This window comes from Homo sapiens, chromosome 14 (assembly GCF_000001405.40).
Source record: "Homo sapiens chromosome 14, GRCh38.p14 Primary Assembly".
Lineage (NCBI taxonomy): Eukaryota > Metazoa > Chordata > Mammalia > Primates > Hominidae > Homo > Homo sapiens.
Window position 1 is genome coordinate 50,268,686 of NC_000014.9, and position 23,326 is coordinate 50,292,011.

The 23,326-nt window shown below is 40.1% G+C and overlaps 1 protein-coding gene across 13 annotated transcripts in view; it reads right to left on the reverse strand.

Moving 5' to 3' along the window:
• L2HGDH (L-2-hydroxyglutarate dehydrogenase) overlaps positions 1-23,326 on the reverse strand; it is a 69,796-nt gene that overhangs the window by 26,252 nt on the left and 20,218 nt on the right. For 9 of the 13 annotated variants that reach the window (NM_001425212.1, NM_024884.3, NM_001425218.1 and 6 more), the window contains 3 exons: positions 15,186-15,348; positions 9,835-9,869; positions 478-645 (listed from right to left, as the gene is read on the reverse strand). In NM_001425212.1, coding sequence (NP_001412141.1) covers positions 478-645; positions 9,835-9,869; positions 15,186-15,348 — 366 coding nt within the window. Of the gene's footprint in view, positions 1-477; positions 646-9,762; positions 9,870-10,451; positions 10,544-15,185; positions 15,349-18,483; positions 18,641-23,326 lie in introns of those variants that run through there. The other 4 variants (NM_001425217.1, XM_011537168.4, XR_007064047.1 and 1 more) reach the window with 4 other exon arrangements.

A 23,326-nucleotide genomic window follows, 5' to 3' on the forward strand; every position in this document is an offset into this window, starting at 1 on the left:
AATATATTTTAAGAGATTCATTCATTTCCAGGGTAGTTCCAGACAGAAGAATGAACTCCTCATTTAAATACCTCTGTCTTCTACTCCCTGAAACTACAGAGTGGCCACATCCCTTTTCTGTACCTACAGATAGTGAACTGAGGAAAAGGGTTGGGTATCAGGGACTTCCATAAGGGAAAGTTTTCCCTTTCCCTCCACCAGAGAGAAGGTAGAATTCAGTTCCTTCTTGATAGCACTTCCCAGAGTGCACTCATGCTTTCTGGAGACATGTACCTGCAGGCAATTAATTACAATTTAATAACCATGATACAGGGATAAAGATTTAGGGATTTAACCACAAGAGAAACCGATGAAATGCTTACAAAAACGGTCCTTCAAAATTTCTCTTATTTCTGACCCAAGTGAAAGTTGTTTTCATCTCCTTTATGACCACCACCTGCTTGAAAAAAATGAGAAGTAGGAAGCATCATTACCTACCGGATAAATATTTCCTTTTACAAGATAACATTTTTCTGGCTTCAAAAGCAGGTAATCTCCCCGGAATGGTACAATTCGAGGATCAGGAGTGCAGCCACTCAACTCTGAAATACGGTCTGAGTAAAGTCCTGCACATGTCACAACATACTGACATCGAATTTCCTCTCCCTAGTGCAAAATAAAAGAACAGTTATTTGTATAAAGTGGAGTAGAATAGGTCAAGAGGGGAAAAACAGGTGATAGAAAAGAAAAAAAGGTACAGAAATAGAATTTTTTCTAAAAGAGGATATTCAATACAGGTATCAGCAAAATATGTTCTTTAGCATTTAGGTGGCAGCTAGAAACTTAGGATAGTGGCATGTAAGAGGATGTCACCTTAAATTTTGTACTGTAAAGATAATAATGGTCAACCTAGCAAGGATACTTAGTAAGGTATACATGCATGCACACAAATACATACATACAAATACATACAAATCTGTTTATTAGGACCTAGCAGGGAGCTTCTTAACTATTTGCTGCATGAGGAAGCAAATGTCATTTAGACAGCCTCCACCAATTTTTTTTGCTCCCCCACCCACCCCACAGCTTTTAATTTGGATTAATTAAAAATTCAATATACCAATCACAAATATGAGGATTTACCCAATCAGCAGAATATCAAGAAAGACAAAACTTCCTACATTAAAAATATAAGCACATAAAATCATTTTAAAATTAAAGTTATTACCTATTGATAATTATATCCATAACATCTCTGGCACTGAAGTCGAAGGGCCTGTAACCCTCTCATTTAAAGGCAAACTCTGTATTGCAACCAGCTTCTCCTGTATCTGAGCAATTACCGTGTTACTCTTCGGTTGCTTCACACTCAATAATCCTGCCCAGTTGCAACTGTAACCTACCCACCAAGCAATTTCTCCTTCCTAATCAATATCTACTTTGCAAACTGAGGACACTTTAGAAATCTCATTCATTCAATGCACATTTAATGAGAGCACACACTACGTTCAACGTTTGCTTTAGTGACCAGCTTTAGACTGCTAATGTTAGGCTGTTATGATTTCCTATAAATTTTATTTTGTGATTATCATCTGCTTATTTTTAACTTTACTCACTAAGTTTAGCCAATTTGTCACCCTATTTCCTAAATGACTTCATTTATCCCGCATTCACCACCACACTTGAATTCCCATCTCTTTACTTCTTACAGAGTAAACACCTAGCAATTCTGTTCTTATTCTTAGATCTTCTTCCCAGATGACCTATTTTTGAAGCCTCAGAGTTCTCACCTGTCTCAACATTTTCTTTCTTTCCAGGCCTTACTGTTTTGTTGTTGTTGTTGTTGTTGTTGTTGTTTTGAGACGGAGCCTCACTCTGTTGCCCAGGCTGGAGTGCAGTGGCAGCGATCTCGGCTCACTGCAAGCTCCACCTCTTGGGTTCACGCCATTCTCCTGCCTCAGCCTTCCGAGTAGCCGGAACTACAGGCGCCCGCCACCACGCCCGGCTAATTTTTTGTATTTTTAGTAGAGACGGGGTTTCACCGTGTTAGCCAGGATGGTCTCGATCTCCTGACCTCGTGATCCACCCGCCTCGGCCTCCCAAAGTGCTGGGATTACAGGCGTGAGCCACCGCGCCCGGCCAGGCCTTACTGTTTAGCCTTACTCTATTGAGCTAAATTTTCACCTCTATATGTATCCTATTTTTGCCCTTGCTAGAAAGTTAAGCCTCTTTTCAGGAGTTATACATGTCATAGTTTTTACAAAAATTAGATGCAACTTCTCCATAATGAATTCAAATTAGCTAGACTAAGCCATGACTGTTTTAAGACCTTTGAAGTCAAAAGGGCTGTCAAGATCTTGCTCCATTACCCAGGCTGGAGTGCGATGGCGCAGTCCTGGCTCACTACAGCCTCAACCTCCTGGGTTCAAGTAATTCTCCTGCCTAAACGAACAGCTGGGACTATAGGCGTGAGCCACCGCACCCAGCCAAAAATAACTTCTTCTAAATAGGTTAATATCTTTCCTGTTCATCTAGAGTTATATTCTAGAAATATGAGAAGTATTTTTGTGATATAAATCATCAGCTCCTACACAAAAGATTGGCAGTTCTTTCGTTCTTGGAACAAAAAAAATGCAGATAAGTCCTATGATAGATGTAAAGATAATAATAGAATTTATAAAATGGTACCAGCATGCAATAACCTAATAGTTCTCTTTCAAAACTCAAGCAACAGTTCCCAAGAAAGAAATTATCAAAAACTATCACAGGTCTCTGAAATCATTTTATGCTATATGTGAAACAATAATTAAATTCAGTAACATATTAATTTTACCTCCAAATTAAAATTTAGGTAACCATCAAATGATACATTAGTTCAACAAAAATTTCTTTTAGGCTTGGCACGGTGGCTCACGCCTGTAGTCCCAACACTTTGGGAGGCCAAAGTGGGAGGATCACTTGAGCCCAGGAGTTCAAGACCAGCCTGGGCAACACAGGGAGACCTTGTCTCCCTATGTTTTATTAGAGATAAAGTCCCCAATTAAAAAAATAAATAAATAAAAAGAAGACAAAGAAATAAACCATGCATGTCTGTTGCTCTTTCATAAGTGAAGCAGATTCCCCCCTCCCCATATCCAATGTATAAACCTTTAATTAGCAAATCCTACCTGCAAAAATTTATTTTAAAAATCCCTGGCCAGGCGCAGTGGCTCACACCTGTAATCCCAGCACTCTGGGAGGCTGAAGTGGGTGAATCACTTGAGGCCAGGAGTTCAAGACTAGCCTGGACAACATGGTGAAACCCTGTCTCTACTAAAAATACAAAAATTAACCAGGCGTGGTGAGACACACCTGTAATCCCAGCTACTCATGTGGCTGAGGCACAACAATCACTTGAATCTGGGAGGCAGAGGTTACAGTGAGCCAAGATCGTGCCTCTGCACTTCAGCCTGGGTAACAGAGTGAGACTGTCTCAAAAAGAAAAAATTTCTTTAAACTTTTCATAAAACTATTTCAACCTGGTAAGTGGACCCCCCAATTTGAATGTGAACCCAAAATTATACTTACTGAAAATGCCAAAATAAAGAATGGCAACTCTGGGTACAAAGTATATATCCACTGGTATGCCATAGGCCCCTGTATATATTCTATCATATGATGCTATACTCTAGTGAAAATGTCCCTTAGATGAGGGCAGGCACAGAAACAGATTTTCAATTCTTCTTTGAATGGAAAGCCTGCCACCTGGGTCACATGACCCGGCAAATCTGATGGTAATCGAAGGGTCTACAGCAGATAGTCATGCTTTATGGAGCCTTTGGAAGGCACCTGTAGGCAAATCACAGCACAGAACTTTAGGGTTTTTGGAGGAAAGTTATATCATCCTCTGCAGATAACTAACCTCCTTTTGAGAAAGTGCTTCTGGCTTTGACTGAACACTTGACCACAGGTCACTAAGTTTACCATATGAGCTACCCATTATTAACTGGGTGGTGTTGTCTGACTCATCAAGCCACAAAATTGGGTGTATATAGCAGCATTCCATCATTAAGAAAAATTGTAAGATAAGGGTTGTACAGGTCCTGCTGGCACACGTAAGTTGAAGAGGCAAGTGGTTCAAATTCCCATGGCCCCTACTCCTGCTAAATTGCCTCCTTCCTATCAACCTGCCTCTATAGACCCATGGGGAGTTCTCTATGACCAGTTGACCAAAGAAGAAAAAATATAGGCCAGGTTTAGAAATGGTTCTGCACAATATTCTGGTACCACACACAACTGAACAGCCACAGCACCAGAGCCCCACTCATGAGTGGCCCTGAAGGACTGTGGTGCAGAAAATATTCTCAGTGGGCAGACCTCTGAACATCACACCTAGCTGTTCATCTTACTTTAGAAGGACTGATGGCCAAAGATATGGATCTACACTGTTTCATGTGCAACAACTAATGGTTTGGCTAGATGGACAGGGAAAGGACCTCTGGAGAAAGGTATATGAATGGACCACTCCAAAACAGTTTCAGAGAGTAAAGATATTCAAGCTCCATATGAATGCTCACTGAAGAGAAATCTTGGCCAAGGACAATTTTAATAATCATTAGAAAAAGATGACCTGCCCTGTGGATGTTAGTTAGCCTCTTTCTCCAGGCACCCCTGTCTTTACCTGACGGCATCATGAACTACATGATTAGGTGTAAAGATAGTCTCCATAAATGGTGCTGGGAAAACTGGATAGCCCCATGCAAAAGAATGAAATTGGACTCCTTTTTTACACCATTCACAAAAATTAACTTGAACTGGATTAAATATTTAGATTAAAAGATTAAAGATTTTAGATTGAAAACTAAGACTCCTGGAAGAAAACACAGGGAAGACATTGGTCTCAGCAATTTTTTTTTTAATATATAAGGCACCAAAAGCACAGGCAACAAAAGCAAAAATAAACAAGTGGGACTATATCAAACTAAAAAGCTTCTGCACAGCAAAAGAAATGACAATAAAGAGACAACCTACAGAATTGGAGAAAATATTTGCAAACCATATATCTGATAACAGGTTAATATCCAAAAAATGTAAGAAACTCATATAATTCAATAGCAAAAGAACAAATGAGCCGATTAAAAAATGAGCAAAGAAAGGCCGGGCACAGGGGCTCACGCCTGTAATCCCCGCACTTTGGGAGCCAAGGCGGGTAGATCACCTGAGGTCGGAGTTCAAAACCAGCCCGACCAACATGTAGAAACCCCATCTCTACTAAAAATACAAAATTAGCTGGGCATGGTGGCACATGCCTGTAATCCCAGCTACTCAGGAGGGTGAGCCAGGAGAATCGCTTGAACCCAGGAGGCAGAGGTTGAGGTGAGCCGAGATCGCGCTATTGCACTCCAGCCTGGGCAACAAGAGTGAAACCCCATCTCAAAAAATAAATAAATAAAATAAGATAAAATAAATAAATAAAAATGGGCAAAGAAGCCGGGCATGGCAGCACGTGCCTGTAATACCAGCTACCTGGGAGGCTGAGGTAAGAGGACAGCTTGAGCCCAGGAGTTTGAGGCTGCAGTGAGCCATGATCATGCCACTGGACTTCAGCCTGGGTGACAGAGACCCTGTCTCAAAAAAAAAAAAGGGGAGTGGGGGGGCCAAGGACCTGAATATGTATTTTTATGTATTTTTTCAAAGATATACACATAGCCAACTGATATATGTAAAGGTGTTCAAATCACTAATCATCAGGAAAATCAAAACCACAATAAGATATCATCTCACATCTATTAGGATGGCTATTATCAAAAAGACAAAAGAAAACAAGCATTGGTGAGGATGTAGAATGCCCTATTGATGGGAATGTAAATTGGACAGCCATCACAGGAAACAGTAAGGACGTTTCTCAAAAAATTAAAAATAGAACTACCATATGATCCAAATTAAAAATAGAACTACCATATGATTTCCTCTGGGTATATACCCAAAGAAAACAAAATCAGTACCTCAAGGAGATATCTGCATTTTCATGTTCATTGCAGCATTATTCACAACAGCCAAGACATGAGAACAACGTTAAGTGTCCATTGACAGATGAATGGATAAAGAAAATGTGATATATATACACAATGCAATATTATTCAGCCATAAAAAGGACAAAATTCTGCCATTTGTGACAACATGGGTGGGCATGGAAGATACTGTGCTAAGTGAAATAAGCCAGACAGTGAAAGACAAATACTGTATGATCTCACTTACATGTGAGATCTAAAAAAGTTGAACTCATAGAAAAAGAGAGTACAATGATGGTTGCTACAGACTGGGAGGGGGGTGGGCAGGAATGGGATGATAGCAGTCAAAGGGTACAAACTTTCAATTATAGGATGAATAAGTTCTAGAAATCTAATATACAGCATGGTGACTACAGGTAATAATACTGTATGGTATACTTGAAATTTGCTAAGATAACAAATCTAAGTGTTCTCATCACATACACATAAATGGTAACTATGTGAGGTGGCAGATATGATATCAAATAACTTGATTGTGATAATCATTTCACAATGTAAACATAGAACTGGAAAACATAGTTATGGTAGCAAGGATGGAGGTGATCAGCGACATGGACTTACTCACCAAGGCTGATCTGTCTACAGCTAATGCTGAGTGCTCAATCTGCCAATAGTAGATAGCAACAGAGCCACTGATGTGGTCCCTGGACCACTTCCATCATAGAAAAGGTAGCACTTACTTCTCACTGGCATAGGCACTTGCTCTGAATATAAATTTGTCTTCCCTGCCTATAATGCTTCTGCCAAAGCCACCATGTGTGAACTTATGAGATGTCTTATTCACCATCATGGTATTTTACAGAGAAGCATTACTTCTGATCAGTGAACTTATTCTGCAGCAAATGAAATGCAGCTATAGGCTCAGGCTCATGGAATTCACTGATTTTACCATTTTCCCCATCACCCTGAAGCCACTGGGTGACAGAAACTGGAATGGGCTTTAGAAGTAATAGCACTAGCTGGCTGGCAACTCCTTGCAGGGCTGGGGCAATGTCCTCCAGGATGCTCCATGTGCTCTAAATCAGTGACTAATATATGGTATTGTTTCTCCCACAGCCAGAATTCACAAGTCTGGAAATTGAGGTAGAAATGAGAGTGGTTCCTTACTATTACCTCAATCATCTACTACATGAAATTTTTGCATTCTATCCCCACAACTTCGCTATTATGATCTAGAGGTCTTAGTTCCCAAGGGAGAAGTACTTCCATTAGAGAATGACAGTGGTTCCATTAAACTGGAGGTTGATACTGCAACACCTGGCCACTTTGGGTTCCCCTGCCAGTAAATCAAAGAGGGGACTGCTATACTGAATTGGATAACTAATCCTGACTCTCAAGAAAATGAGTTGCTACCACAACTAGGCTTGGGGATGATAAAGAGGAATATGCCTGGAATACACATCTCCTGAAGCTTCTCTTAGTATTCCCATGTACTGTTATAAAAGTTACTGGAAACTACCTCGACCCAAAACAGCCAGGGCTGCTAACGGCACAGACTTCAGGAATGAAAGTTTGAGCTACACCACCAAACTAGAAACCATGACCAGCTGAGATGCTTGCCAAAGGCAAAGAGAATATGAAATGCATAGTAGGGGAAGGAAATTATAAATATTGGCTATGGCCACATGACTAGTCACAGAAATGAGGGATGTTATCATCTGAGTATATCTTCTTTACTTTAAAATAATACATTTCTCCATACATTACCTAATTCTTTTTTTATTCCCATTGCTATAGATTGAATTGTGCCCCCCCCACCCCAATTCATATGTTGAAGTCCCAACCCTTAATGTGAACTGTATATGGAAACAGGGCCTTTAGGGAGGTAACTAAGGTTAAATGAGGTCATAAGGGTAGGGGCTAATCCAATAGGACTGGTGTCCTTATAAAAGGAAGAGACACCCAAGATCATGCGCTCTCTTTTCCGGCACACACAGACAAGAGGTCATGTGAGGACATAGTAAGAAGGCAGCCATTAACAAGCCAAAAGTCAACCCTACCAGCACCTTAATCTTGGACTTTTAGCCTCCAGAACTGTGGGCTTTTTAGGCCACCCAGTTTGTGCTATTTTGTTATGGAAGTCTGAGAAGACTAATACACTCATCTCTACCATTCCCACATTATCTAACACAGGGTTTCTCAACCTCAGTACTACTGACTTTGGGGGCTAGACATTTCTTTGTTTTGGAGGCCTATTCCCCACACTGAAGGATGTTTAGCAACATTCCTGGTATCTACCCACCAAATCCCAGTAGCTGTGTCCCTCCCCCATCCCAGTTGTGACAATCAAAAATGTCTCTAAACATTGCCAAATGTTCCCCGAGGAGTAAAATTGCCTCTAGTTGAGAACTACTAATCTAATATAAAATGCTTAAATAGTGGTTAACCTTATATCTTGGTATTTAAGTGACAGGATCTCAAAGGGGGAGTGTAACTCAGCTAGTAGAAATTAAACATAATCCAGGATGGATAAAGTAGACTGTTTTTTTTTTGTTTTTTTTTTTGAGAGTTAGTTAGCATGTCTTCAGTCCTATGAAGGACAGTTACACCTTGTTAGGTGGAAGCATACTTTTACTTCTGTCTTTATTTGGAAGCTAAATATCGTTATAAGGTTATAAGGGGCGTGGACAGATGTCAGGTTGACAAAGGGTGGACTGTAGGGGTTTGTACTGAGTCCATTTGGTTAAGCTAGGAACTATGCTTGACAGAATCCCCTTCTCTTCATGGTTCCAACTTAAACTTGGTCAAAACAGGAGATGCATATAATCTGGTGGCAGAGGGCCAGGCGTGGTAGCTCACACCTGTAATCCCAGCACTTTGGGAGGCCGAGGCGGGTGGATCATGAGGTCAGGAGATCGAGACCATCCTGGTTAACATGGTGAAACCCCGTCTCTACTAAAAATACAAAAAAATTAGCCAGGTGTGGTGGCGGGCGCCTGTCCCAGCTACTCGGGAGGCTGAGGCAGGAGAATGGTGTGCACCCGAGAGGCGGAGCTTGCAGTGAGCCAAGACTGCACCAATGGACTCCAGCCTGGGCGACACAGTGAGACTCCGTCTCAAAATAATAATAATAATAATAATAATAATAATAATAATAATAATAATAATAATAATCTGGTGGCAGAAGTAAATCAGCAGGTATTATTCTCTGAAGGTCATCCTAGTCCAATGAGGTGACAGACAGATACCCACTGTCCAGTGAATTCCAGCTCCGCATTCAGCTCTGTTTCCCAATTACTGATCCATCAACTCTCTTCTGAATCTATGCTTTCCCAGAAACTTCCACAATTGTGTAAGGTCTTATTCCTATAATAAATCCTATAGCACTCATTAATGACTCTGCTCCCTTGAGTACAACTTGATGCAGCGAACCTACAGGGAATCCACTGCTTCTATGCCATTCAGTGGTTCTTGCTTTAGGTCCATGTGAAGATGAATAAAAGCAGTCCATCTCCCTCTGGACAACCTGCATACTCCCTCTTCCGAAGTCTTCTGATTTATAGAGAGTTAATAAGTTAGTGGAGATCAGTAGATAGAGTGATAAAATATTAGTTTTGCCTTAAAATTAAACACTCCATATGCTTATAATCCTGTTCTTTGCCAGCAGAGCCACTTAATTAGGACATTCCCAAGTTGAAACCCTCCTTAGAATAAAAGCTGTTAAACTTCCCTAAAAGAAATTCTCTCAGAATTACATTAGACAAATGTCATTCAATAACTTAAAATACAGCCCTGTGGGTTAATTTAATTTTTAATAAAGGGGAGGGAAAGAAAGTAGCCAGCAGTTTTGCTTAAGAATCTTTACCTTTGTATTCTTTATAACAATTGGATATTGCATTCCTGAAAAAAAAGAATAAGTGAAAAATTTATTTTTAGCAAAAGGCCAACATTATTTGAAATATCATACTAGAAACAAACTTAAATAACCTTTTTCTGTCATTACTATGATTGCACCTTACAGTTCATTCTGAAACTTTTTACCAAATAACAATTAAACTAGTTCATACTTAACAACATATAAAACTCCAGCATGTTTTTAGCTTGATTTTAATTCACCTAATCTATGCTTATAAACCATATGCCACCTGACCTCCAATATAGACATAGCTATTCTCTGAACTATAATCCTGGAAACCGCAATGTAAAATGGATAATCATAAATCAGTATGTATTTTCCCACAGACTAAAGCTATGATATGAGAAACCTTGTCATCCAAGTGTTGGTTACTGGATTCCTTGCAGGTTCTATGTTGTTTAGAAAAGCAAGAGTTCTCACAACACAAAAACTTCTAATAAAAAATTGACCATTTTTAAAATTAGTTCCCACTCAGATACATGGGATCTCAAAGTTTTATAAAGCGTATGTAGAGCAGATAAATACAATCTACTTGTATCACAAATTTGGTTTATTATGCTACCTACCTAAAACAACCTTAATTATTTAACAATTTTGCTCATCATCTTAGAATTCAGAAAGACAGAATGATTCAGATGGCTTAGATCTCCTTAAAAACCTGTCAAGGAAGAAAGAACAGAACACTACTTTTTTTCTCCTTCAAATTTCTCAACAGCAAATAGAAGGCTCACAAATCTATCATTTGGACAAAAAAAATTAATGCCCTCAAAGCAAAACAAAACAAACTCTAAGTGAACTCTTAAACTGTGGGGGCTGGGCATGAGGTGGGGGGAGTTCCAAATGGCCAGGTCATTTTATGACCTTAGGCTGTCATTCTGACATTCTAAAACTTGGATGTGTCTAAGAATCACTAAAGGCTTATTACTAGGTGCTATTTCCAGACAGTCTGATTCAGTAAGTATGGGTGATGCTAACATTTGCATTTTGGGCCAAGCACAGTGGCTCATGCCTGTAATCCCAGCATTTTGGGAGGCCAAGGTGGGCAGGTTGTTTGAGCTTAGGGGTTCAAGACAAGCATGGACAACATAGTGAGACCTCAACTCTTTTTATTATTTAAAAAAAAAAAAAGAAGGAAGAAAGTAAAGAGGAAAAAGCATATTTAAAAAGATTGCTTCGATCCCTTTCATGGTTCTTGAAACATACAAGCAGGCTGAGCATGGTGGCTTACGCCTGTAACCCCAGAACTTTGGGAGGCCGAAGTGGGTGGATCACCTGAGGTCAGGAGTTTGAGACCAGCCTGACCAACATGATGAAATCCCATCTCTACCAAAAATACAAAATTAGCTGGGCATGGTGGTGCATGCCTGTAATCCCAGCTACTCAGGAGGCTGAGGCAGGGGAATTGCTTGAACCTGAGAGGCAGAGATTGGAGTGAGCCAAGATCGTGCCATTGCACTCCAGCCTGGGCAATAGGGTGAGACTCCGTCTCAAAAGAAAAAAAAAAAAAAAAGAAATATACAAGCAAAAGAGTTCTTTTGAAATTACTCCTTCGTGACCCTGACACCTCTCTAAGACTGAGCCACATGGGTCACTGCTTTTTTTTTTTTTTGAGACAGAGTCTCACTCTGTTGCCCAGGCTGGAGTGCAGTGCGCTGGTGCAATATCAGCTCACTACAGCCTCTGCCCACCGGATTCCAGCAATTCTCCTGCCTCAGCCTCCTGAGTAGCTGGGATTACAGGCACGTATCACCACACCCGGCTAATTTTTGTATTTTTAGTGGAGATGGGTTTTACCATGTTGGCCAAGCTGGTCTGGAACTCCTGACCTCAGGTGATCCGCCTGCCTTGGCTTCCCAAAGTGTGGGATTACAGGCGTGAGCCAACGCGCCTCCCAGGTCACTGCTTTATATAGACATATTTACAGCTATCAATAAAAAGGATCAGTTCAGTCCTGTACTCTTCACATAGACACCAGGTTTGCCAATTTTCCTACTGACTACGTTTGCCATTTAGAGATACAGAACCTGAATAGTTATACCGGTAAGCTGTACATCTGAGTCCCATAGGATTTTGCAAATTAAGAAAAAATTATTTTATTTAATTAAAAAAAAATTTTTATGTTTAGTAAAGATGGGGTCTCGCGATGTTGCCCAGGCTGGTCTTGAACTCCTGAGCTCAAGCGCTCCACCCACCTTGGCCTCCCAAAGTGCTCGGATTACAGGCGCGAGCCACTGCGCCCAGCCCTAAAAAAAAAATTTTTTTGAGACAAGGTCTCACTGTGTCGGCCTGGCTGCAGTGCAGTGATGCAATTATAGCTCACTGCAGCCTCAAACTCCTGTGCTCAAGCAATCCTCCTGCCTCAGCCTCCTAAGTAGCTGGAAGTACAGGTGTGTGCTACCATGCCCAGTGAACGTTTAAAAATTTTTTGTAGAGGCAGGGTCTCGCTATGTTGCCCAGGCTGGTCTTAAACTCCTGGCCTCAAGTGATCCTCCTTCCTTGGCCTCTCAAAGTACTTGTGCAAATTTTAACTTCACAATTAGATTTGCTGTCCAGACTTCTAAGGGAGAGAAAAAGGAAAAAAAAAATTCTCCAGAATGGTATGTGTTCCTTAGGAGTGGTAAAGTCTAGCACACTGGAAGACTAATTTACATGTTGATATATATAGACAAGCCAAAAAGGAGATGTCATGTCATGAAAATTTTTTTCTCTCCTTTCCAGCAGTATAATAAATTGTCATTCAAGCTGGGTGCAGTAGCTCGCTCCTGTAATCCCAGCACTTTGGGAGGCTGAGGCAGGAAGATCACCTGAGGTTAAGCGTTTAAGACCAGCCTGGCCAACACGGTGAAACCACGTCTCTACTAAAAATACAAAATTAGCCAGATGGGGTGGCACATGTTTGTAATCCCAGTTACTTGGGAGGCTGAGGCAGGAGAATCACCTAAACCCAGGAGGCAGAGTTTGCAGTGAGCCAAGATTATGCCACTGCACCCCAGCCGGGGCAACAAGAGTGAAACTCCATCTCAAAAAAAATAAAATAAATAAAATAAAAATAAATTATCATTCATAGTTATAAAATTCTGGTTTTATAGGAACTTTCAAAATTCTTCAGTTCATGGTTCTTTGTCCTTTTTTCAGTCTACTGGTTTATCTCTATTCCTGGTTGTTCAAACTAGTCTAATTGTAAGTCTGGAGCAATGGTTCTTAACCAGGAGTGATTCCTTCACCCCCAACTCTAAGAGAACATTTGCCAACATTTAGAGATACTTTTTATTTTTTTTGTGTGTGTGTGTGACGGAGTCTCGCTCTGTCACCCAGGCTGGAGTGCAGTGGCATGATCTCAGCTCACCGTAACCTCCACCTCCCGGGTTCAAGCTATTCTCCTGCCTCAGCCTCCTGAGTAGCTGGGACTACAGGCGTGAGCCACCATGCCCAGCTAAGTTTTTGTATTTTTAGTAGAGATGGGGTTTCACCATGTTGGCTAGGATGGTCTCTATCTCTTGACCTCATGATCCGCCCGCCTCGGCCTCCCAAAGTGCTGGGATTACAGGTGTGAGCCACTGCACCTAGCCTAGAGACATTTTTAATTGTCATCACTTGGGGGCGTGATGGTACCGGCATCTAGTGGACAGAAGCCAGGGATACTACAAAACATCCTACAGTGCACCGGATAGCCCCCTACGACAAAGAACGATCTGGCCCCAATATCAATAGTGTCAGGATTAAGAAACCCTTTCCTAGACCTCCCCTCTGCAATTACCTTGGTGTCCTACTTTCCTAGTCCAGCCTCTTAGCTTCCACCTTCCTGTTGTGCTTCATAGCCAGTCTTTTTCCTTCATTCTAACCACCAATTTCTGGAACTCTTCTGTCTTCATTAAACCAATGAAGCTTTCCACCTGACATCTTTGTTAATCTGAAATTCTTGCTCGTTATTCAGCTTGTGGGGAACATAGTGTGGGTCCAGTATAGTTCAGTAATTAACTATGTGGGCTTTAGGTACAGTCTATGAGTTGAAATCCAAACCCCACCACTCACTACTTGTACAACCATGGCCAAGTTTCTTACTCTCTCTGTGCCTGTTTTCTCACCCTAAAAAAATGTGAGTAATAATGGTACCCTGCCACGGAGAATTGTAAAAGTCAAATGAGTTAATACTTGGAAAGGACCAAGTGCTTAATAAATGTTAGCTATTGGCCAGGCACAGTGGCTCACGCCCGTAATTCTAGCACTTTGGGAGGTCAAGTGGGCAGATCACTTGAGTCCAGGAGTTCGAGAGCAGCATAAGGAACATGGTGGAACCCCATCTCTACAAAAAATACAAAAATTGGGACGGGCACGGTGGCTCACACCTGTAATCCTAGCACTTTGGGAGGCCAAGGAGGGAAAATCACTTGAGCTCGGGAGTTCGATACCAGCCTGGGCAACACAGTGAGACCTTGTCTCTATAAAAATTAAAATTAAAAAAAAAAAGAAAAATACAAAAATTAGCTGGGTGTGGTGGCAAGCACCTATAGTTTCAGCTACTTGGGCGGCTCAGGTGGGAGGATCACTTGAGCCTGGGAGGTGAAGGTTACAGTGAGCCGGGATTGTGCCACTGCACTCCAGCCTAGGCAACAGAGCAAGACCCTGCCCCAAGGGGAAAAAAAAAATGCATTTTTAACAAGCATTGTCAAGAGATTCTGACTGTAATCTACAGGGTAGGGAAGTGTTTGGAGACAAATTTTCCATAAACAGCCTTGGCAGTTCAGATTTTAGCACCAGTCAGAAGTGTCGGACCACCGCCTGGTTCTACCAGCACAAGACCCTCCAGGAGTCCCAGTTCTCTCACATTCAGTCTGCACCTTCTGTACCTACCTCTGGTTCTGCACCATACTCTAGCCTAGCTCCATGTGGCCCTCCCACCAGCACTACCCCCTAAAATATCCCAATTAAAAAAAAAATCAATATAAGTACAGCTGTTCCTTAGTATCCAAGGAGGATTGGTTCCAGGAACCCCACAAATACCAAAATTCAAGGATACTTAAGTCCCTCATATAAAATGCATATAACATTTGCACATAACCTATGCACATACGCTGGATATTTTAGATAATTTCTAGATTACTTATAACACCGAATGCAATGTAAATGCTATTTTTTTGTTATACTATCTTTTTTATTTGTATTATGTATTATTCTACTATTATTTTTTATTGTTTTTTTTCCCAAATATTTTTCATCCTCAGTTGGTTAAAACCACAGATGCAAAACCCATGGATATGGAGGGCTGACTATATTCAATAGAAAAGACAAGGATGGCTTACCATCTATACTTCTTGAAGGACTTTCTTTAGCCATTTCAATACCTTTTACTTCAAAATTGGTCAAGACAGAGCCACCTGCTTCTTGGAAATCCTGGGCAAATGACAAAGCCACCTGCCGATAGTCCACAATGCCAGTATGTGGACAATCAATAGCCATTAGACCCTGAAACAGAATTATGAAAAGATAACAGATAAGAGAAATAATACTTGCTAAATAACAAAATCTCTATAATCAAGAAACAATTTTGTCCTTTAGAGGAGTTGATTTTGCCAAGCTTTTCTTGCTGCTACAATGAGTTTTTCTTTTCCATTTATTATCCCTCACCATACCTGATTCTGATTTGATTCATATCTGATTCTGAGTTGAATTACGTATCATCAAACAATTATGTTTTAAATAAGCTCTAGTGAGATTTTTCCCAGTAGTATATACTATGTTGTCCATACTTAGTAAGAACTCAAGAGTTGTTCTAGCTACTCACAATGTTTCCAGAGCATTGCTTTGACTTGCTGCCCAGACCCTATCTTTGAGACTACAAATATGGAATGGAGATTTTATGTGGTTAACTCAAACTTTTTCTTCAGGTAATACAAGAAATTAATAGCCTGGATTTTTTTGTTTGTTTCTGTTTTTGTCCCTAAAGACATGTCCAAATCAATGTTCATCAATCTGTAGATGAATGACCTATATAACACATGCTTATTTTATTTTTTTAGAATAAATGTTGAACGTGTCATTGGCCGTTTCTAATTCTAAAGAAAAGGATAAGAGGAGAATTTCACACACTAAGTACTGACTACATTTTGGTGATCATTGTTAATAGCACCATTTTCTGTTGCCTTTTTTTGTATATATCAGTTCTCCCAATCAATTTCCCCAAGAGGGTAGCCTGGTATCCAGGATAACATCCAGACGGTGAGTGCTATTAATAAATTCTGCCATCCTCTCATTTGGCCAGCACAGCATTATTGTTGTGGTGGTTTTAAAATAATATCTGATATAATACTATTGTAAAGATCTCACTCTTGTATTCACCACCTGACCATCACCCCAACATATTCCCCTGCTTGGCCCTTAGAAGATTTTCATTTTGCGGCCGGGCGCAGTGGCTCACGCCTATAATCCCAGCACTTTGGGAGGCTGAGGCAGGCGGATCACAAGGTCAGGAGTTCGAGACCAGCCTGGCCAATTATGGTGAAACCTCATCTCTACTAAAAATACAAAAATTAGCCGAACGTGGTGGCGGGCACCTGTAGACCCAGCTACTCAGAAGGCTGAGGCAGGAGAATTGCTTGAACCCCAGAGGCGGAGGTTGCAGTGAGCCGAGATGATGCCACTGCGCTCCAGCCTGGGCAACAGAGTGAGACTTCGTCTTTAAAAAAAGATTTTCTCTTTGCTATCCCACTGGGACCAATGTTTTCTAATGACCAGGTCACACTGAGGGTAAAGACTCCCAAAACATCAACAGTCTCTTTTTTAACAAATTGAAAGCAATGTTTGGCAAACTTCATCATTTTCCTGACAGTCTCATTTCTAGAATATAAGAGTATTTGCCAAGCATAGGAAATCATTCCTTCTGTTTTGATACAGTCAGTAAACATAAGACCTAGTCATTGACTAAATTCACATGCCAGTAACTCAACTTCAATCTATAAACAATATTTTGGGTACAATAATCTTAGAAGCTCACTTAGGATAATACCAAGAGATTAGTCCATGAAAACTTCCTTACCTACCATAAAATTATGTGACAAGTATAACAGAGGGATAAAAACATTCTGTAAAAGTGCTTAATTCTCAATCAATAGTTTTTTGCAATTCCAAATAGCTTCCTTATTCATCTTATGCTCCTATTACCCAGCACAACGTCTGACACACTGAAGACACTCAAACATTTACTGAAGGATTGAATTTGAGGGCTGTGTTTAAACATAGAGGATCCCCTTTACTCCATTCCAGACCTTCCCTAGAAGGTGTCTCTTCTTTTCTTTCTCTTTCTAGTCTTGGCCTTTCCTCTCCTCCTAAGATGCTGGTGTGCCCCACCTATACATGTGTGTTGTAGAAAGGTGAAAAGAGTCATCATCACCATGCAATCCAATGCTCTGGCCTGGGACTAGCTGCAAAGGTAGAGGCTGCCAAGTTGGGGTGGTGTTGGTAGACAGGCTGGCTGTGTCTGTCACCCAGGAGGTTGGGCATGAACTGTCCAGGTCAGCAGGTCAGAGACTGAAATCTGAGGCCTTGGCAGATCAGAACCAGGCAAGAACCAGACAAGCAGGACAGGGAAAATTGAGAGTAGATCTCAAGTCAGGATACAGAGGAACAGATGAACATGTGATTGACCAATAGTGCTAACAAAATGGCAAAAGCAGACCAGAGGGCAGAGTAGCAGTGAGGATTTGCCCAGAGAGGGAGCAGTCAAGAGTTACCTTCGGCTACTCTGGGCATACCGCTTATGGGGTAGCCCTGCTCTGCAAGAAGTACTTTAAAAAAAAATAAAAAGAGTTATCCTCCCAAGTCAAAGTTTACAGAGGCAGTTTAAAATTTTCCAAGGGCCTCTCCCCGATGATACTTGGTTTTCTTAAAGGGACTTGGTCTAAGAAGCTCTTTAGAGCTGCCTTGGTAAACTTCTTTCTGGGTGGCCTGGAAAAAAAACAAGTGACCCCGTACAATGGGCATTTTACCCAATATTCCTATAGCAGTGGTAAGGTTGGCAGGGAAGGAAGGACTTTATTCAAAACATCTTTAGAAAATAACCAAACTACATGTTCTACTATATATTGCCATCCCTAAATATATGAAACACTAATGATTACAACTTGGAATCATATAAAGTATATATCACTTCTGTGGAGGCCTCAGAGAGAAGCAGAATATGCCTCTTTTGTAAGTTATTTTACTCATTCATCTTTCAAGTGGGGGTTTGTCTCTGAGGCTTTCTTAAACAATTGTACTAAGCTAAAAGCATTCCCTTAACATTGGTATAAGAGAGAGTACCAGCTCTATCAGAATACTTATCACTATATCTTCTTTTACACTATAACCTCCTTCAGGTTGACAGCCATGCCTTATTCATCTTCTTATCTATCTACAGTGCCTAACATAGTGTGTGGCACATAGTAATCAAAAAACCTTTGGTTGAACCAAACAGAAAAAATACCAGTTCTGAGTCAGATCTTGAGGTGGGCAACTCTTTGGGAGCTGTGTGACCCTGGGAAAGTAAAGTTTCTTCATTTATAAGACACAAAAATATGTGTAATACATATAATTTCATTACCTATGCACACATATCTCACTGACCTCATTCCAAGGACCTGTGATGGTCACCTCATCAGGTACAGAGAACAATATCCAGACTCATCCATAACTTTTACAACATCTGAAAAGTTTTGTTTTTTTCAGTAATGCATAATATAAAAAATCATGGGTTCCTGTTCCGATTTTTTCTCTTTAAAGCCTTAACAAGGATACACAACAGGCAACAATCAGATAGACCAATTCTCCAAATTTCAGTACCATTAGGATACCAGTAATCCTGTTTTTCAAACTCTACAATTAAATTATTTTCATGACCAAATCTATAATGGGGCCAGCAGCTCAGATGTACTTTTTTTTTTTGATATGCATCTTACATTTGAAAGACTTTTCATGAGCAAATAAAAATTAAAAGGTTTTAAAAATTGGCATGTCCTTTTGAAGGAGGTTATCAATTCTTTCATTCTTCAAGGTAATACTTGATAGGAGCACATCAATGAAAGTTTTTTTTTAAATTTTTGAAACTTTTATTTTTAGTTGACACATAATTATATTTTTATTTTTTTCCTTTTTTTTTTTTTTTTTTTTTTTTGAGACAGAGTCTCACTCTGTTGCCCATGCTGGAGTGCAGTGGTGCGATCTTGGCTCACTGCAACCTCTGCCTCCCAGGTTCAAGCGATTCTCCTGCCTCAGCCTCCCAAGTAGCTGGGACTACAGGCACCCAAAAACACGCCTGGCTATTTTTTGTATTTTTAGTAGAGACGGGGTTTAACCGTGTTTGCCAGGCTGATCTCGAATTCCTGACCTCAAATGATCCACCCACCTCAGCCTCCCAAAGTACTGGGATTATAGGCATGAGCCACCATGCCCAGCCAATAGTTGTATATATTTATGGAACACAGTGATATTTCAGTATGTGTCTACAATGTGTAATGATCAAATCAGGGTAATTAGTATATCAATCACCTCAAACATTTATAATTTCTTTGTGTTGTAAAAATTCAAAATCCTTTTTTCTGGGTTTTTGAAAATATGTGAGATTCTGATATATTAGTTTCACAATTGAATTCCATCAAAATCATATAAAGCTATGAAACAGCAATAGATTTAGTCTATTTTCGGGAAGGACATGTTTAATAACGTGTATAGGAAGCTGTTGTTTTGCATTGAGCTTCTGTATTAGACCTCTACAGACCAAACCAAAATGGAGTCTCTCATGCTAAAATCCTCCTCACCAGATGGAAACCAAATTGTTTATATGACCTTCTAAGAAATCACAAGAGATAACTAACAGCCAAGTTCACAAACAGGCTGGTTTTAGCCAGCTTGATAAGGAAGTCTTCTCTGGTTTTTTTGGAGTCCAATGGCGCGATCTCAGCTCACCAAAACCTCTGCCTCCCTGGTTCAAGCGATTCTCCTGCCTCAGCTTCCTGAGTAGCTGGGATTACAGGCATGCGCCACCATGCCCGGCTAATTCTTGTATTTTTAGTAGAGATGGGGTTTCACCATATTGGTCAGGCCGATCTCGAACTCCTGACCTCAGATGATCCGCCTACCTCGGCCTCCCAAAGTGCTGGGATTACAGGCGTGAGCCACTGTGCCTGGCCTCTGTTTTAACCTTATAGGAAAGTAACTTTGAAACAACCAATCTGCTTTTTGTTCTCTGTTTCTGCTTTCTTCAACCCTTTTCTGTCTATAAAGCCAACCTCCTCTGGTCAGCTCATCAGAGTGCCTTTTCTAAATCTTTGAATGAGATGCTCCTTAATTCATGAATCACTAAAAGAGCTAATTTGGTCTTTAAATCTGTTGTAATTTTGTCTTTTAACACACTCAATAGTTTTGTAATGCACTGTATAGATAAGAAACAGAAAGTGGGTTTAATCTAAATTTTTTAAGTAGACTCCTTTTTAAGAGCAGTTTTAAATTCATAGAAAAATTGAGCAAAAAGTTCAGAGATTTCCCATATATTCTCTGCTCCCACATATATAACAGCCTCCTAATTTCTTAATTTTAATACTAGCATTTTTTTTCCTTGAAGCATAACATCAGTCTAAACAACCAGCCCTTATATCAGTTATTCACAACCCTAGTTTTATAATATGCTAGGATCTCTATTGTTTTAAAATAGGCTATCTCACTCTAAAAAAGACTGATATGCCTTAAAGAAAATAAACAGAATAAAATAATAAATTAAATGTAACACATCAGGAAAAGGGGAAATACAAACAGGGGGAAGAATACACATAACTAAATATTCTTAATTATCTTAACAGGGTAATCTATTATCCTGTTTCTTATCTACACAGTGCGTTACAAAACCATTGAGTGTGTTAAAAGACAAAATTATAACAAATTTAGTTTAAAGATCTAATTAGCTTTATTAGAAATTCATGATTCAGGGAGCACCTCATTCATAGATTTAGAAAGAGCACTCTAATGAGCTGACCAGAGGAGGCTGGCTTTATAGGCAGAAAAAAGCTAAAGAAAGCAGAAATGAAAAGTCCCCAAATATTTCAAACAAAACCAATTTGAATTTACTAGGATTGTTCAAAAAAGCATATAATAATATATACCATTTCTTAAGGGATTAACGTTTAGCCGAATGCCTTATACATAGTATTTCATTTAATTCTCAAAACAATCTCCATTTTACAAATGAGTCTGAGGATTAGAAAGATTATAACCCACTCAATGTTAATAGCCATTAAAGAGGCAGATGTGAGAATGGAGCTTATGTCTGTCTGACTTATCAACAGCTACATTATACTGCTCACCTTATGCTAGATGCAAGTTAATTTCAAAAAGTTGAAGGATACAGCAAGATAAAGTAAAGGATAATATGTCAAAACTCCCTTAAGTCGGCCAGGCGCAGTGGCTCACGCCTGTAATCCTAGCACTTTGGGAGGCTGAGGCGGGCGGATCACGAGGTCAGGAGATCAAGACCATCCTGGCTAACAAGGTGAAACCCTGTCTCTACTAAAAATACAAAAAAAATTAGCCAGGTGTGGTGGTGGGCGCCTGTAGTCCCAGTTACTCTGGAGGCTGAGGCAGGAGAATGGCGTGAACCCAAGAGTTGGAGCTTGCAGTGAGTCGAGATCACGCCACTGCACTCCAGCCTGGGTGACAGAGTGAGACTCCGTCTCATAAAAAAAAACAAAAACAAACAAACAAAAAAAACTCCCTTAAGACTGAGAATTATTGGAATCAGATAATTCAAAAATAACAATAAGTGGCTTTGGTTCTCCTCTCCCCACGTCCAGTTCCATCTTACATATTCAAATTTGATTAAATTTCCTAAATTAGTACCTTTTGCCTGTCAGCATTCTGCTCAAGTCCTTCGGTAGCTATCTGCTATTTAGATCAAGGGTAGGCAACCTTTTTTATAAGAGACAGATGGCAAATATTTTTGACTATCTAGGCTTATGATCTCTGTTGCAACTACTCAATGAGGCTGTTTGGCGTTAAAACAGCTACAGACAATACATAACTGAATATTTGCGGTTGTATTTCAATAAAACTTTACGGACACTGAAATTTGAATTTCATATATTTTTTTTTGAGATGGAGTCTCTCTCTGTTGCCCAGGCTTGAGTGCAGTGGCACAATCTCCACTCACTGCAACCTCCGCCTCCCGGGTTCAAGCAATTCTCCTGCCTCAGCCTCCCAAGTGGCTGGGACTACAGGCACACGCCACCACGCCTGGCTGAATTTCATATAATTTTAATTCATCACAAAATAATGTTCTTCTTTTAATTTTTTTAACACACTTAAAATGTAAAAAACATTTTTAGCATGGCCGGGCACGGTGGCTCACGCCTATAATCCCAGCACTTTGGGAGGCCGAGGTGGGCGGATCACAAGGTCAGGAGTTTGAGACCAGCCTGGCCAATATGGTGAAACCCTGTTTCTACTAAAAATACAAAAATTAGCCAGGCATGGTGACATGTGCCTGTAATCCCAGCCACTTGGGAGCCTGAGGCAGGAGAATCGCTGAACCCAGGGAGACGGAGGTTGCAGTGAGCCGAAATTGTGCCACTGCACTCCAGCTTGGGGGACAGACTGAGACTCCGTCTCAAAAAAAAAAAAAAAAAAAAAAAAAAACAAACAAAAAACATTTTTAGTTTTCAGGCCATACAAAAACAGGTGGCAGGATGAATTTGGCCCACAGGACAGAATTTGCCAAGACTTTGACCATTTAGAATTTGCTCAGAGTATGAAATAAGCAGGTGGCCAAAATAAGATGGTCAATGAAAATATTCTACTTAAAAAAATCAGTCACTAATTCACTATCTCAGAGAGATAAGAAATATTTGAGGAGAGAAATGGGAAGTAACAAGACCTAGTGTATCCCACAAGCAAAATAGTTTGATTATCCTGACTGGGTGCCAGGAAAGGAATAGGTGGCTTGCTGGAGACGAAGATGCTATAACCTCTGCAGGAAGAACTCATTCAACACTATTTAGACTCCTGGATACCAGCAGCGTCTTAGGAGCTTTACATGAATTCAGAAAATCTTGCATATTTTGACCCAACTTTAACTTTACAACTAGAGATAAAGGGAAAAAATACATTTTTTTTCCTTCAAGCTTTTATTTTTCCTGGACTTGAAAAAATACATTTCTATCTTGTCTTTTTGCAGAAAGGATGAAGCAGCTTGTAAAAATAAACAAAAAACACATATAAAACTATACAAACTAGGATTAAACATTGGATCAACCAAGTATATGAATTAGAAAAGAAGAAATAAATAGTTATTATTTGCAGATAAAATGTCTGGGTATAAAAAGTCCAAAAGAATTTCTAGACAAATTATTTAGAACCAATACACGAATTTAACTAGAAAGTTGGATACAAGGTCAGAAATCAATTATATTTCCACATACCTGCA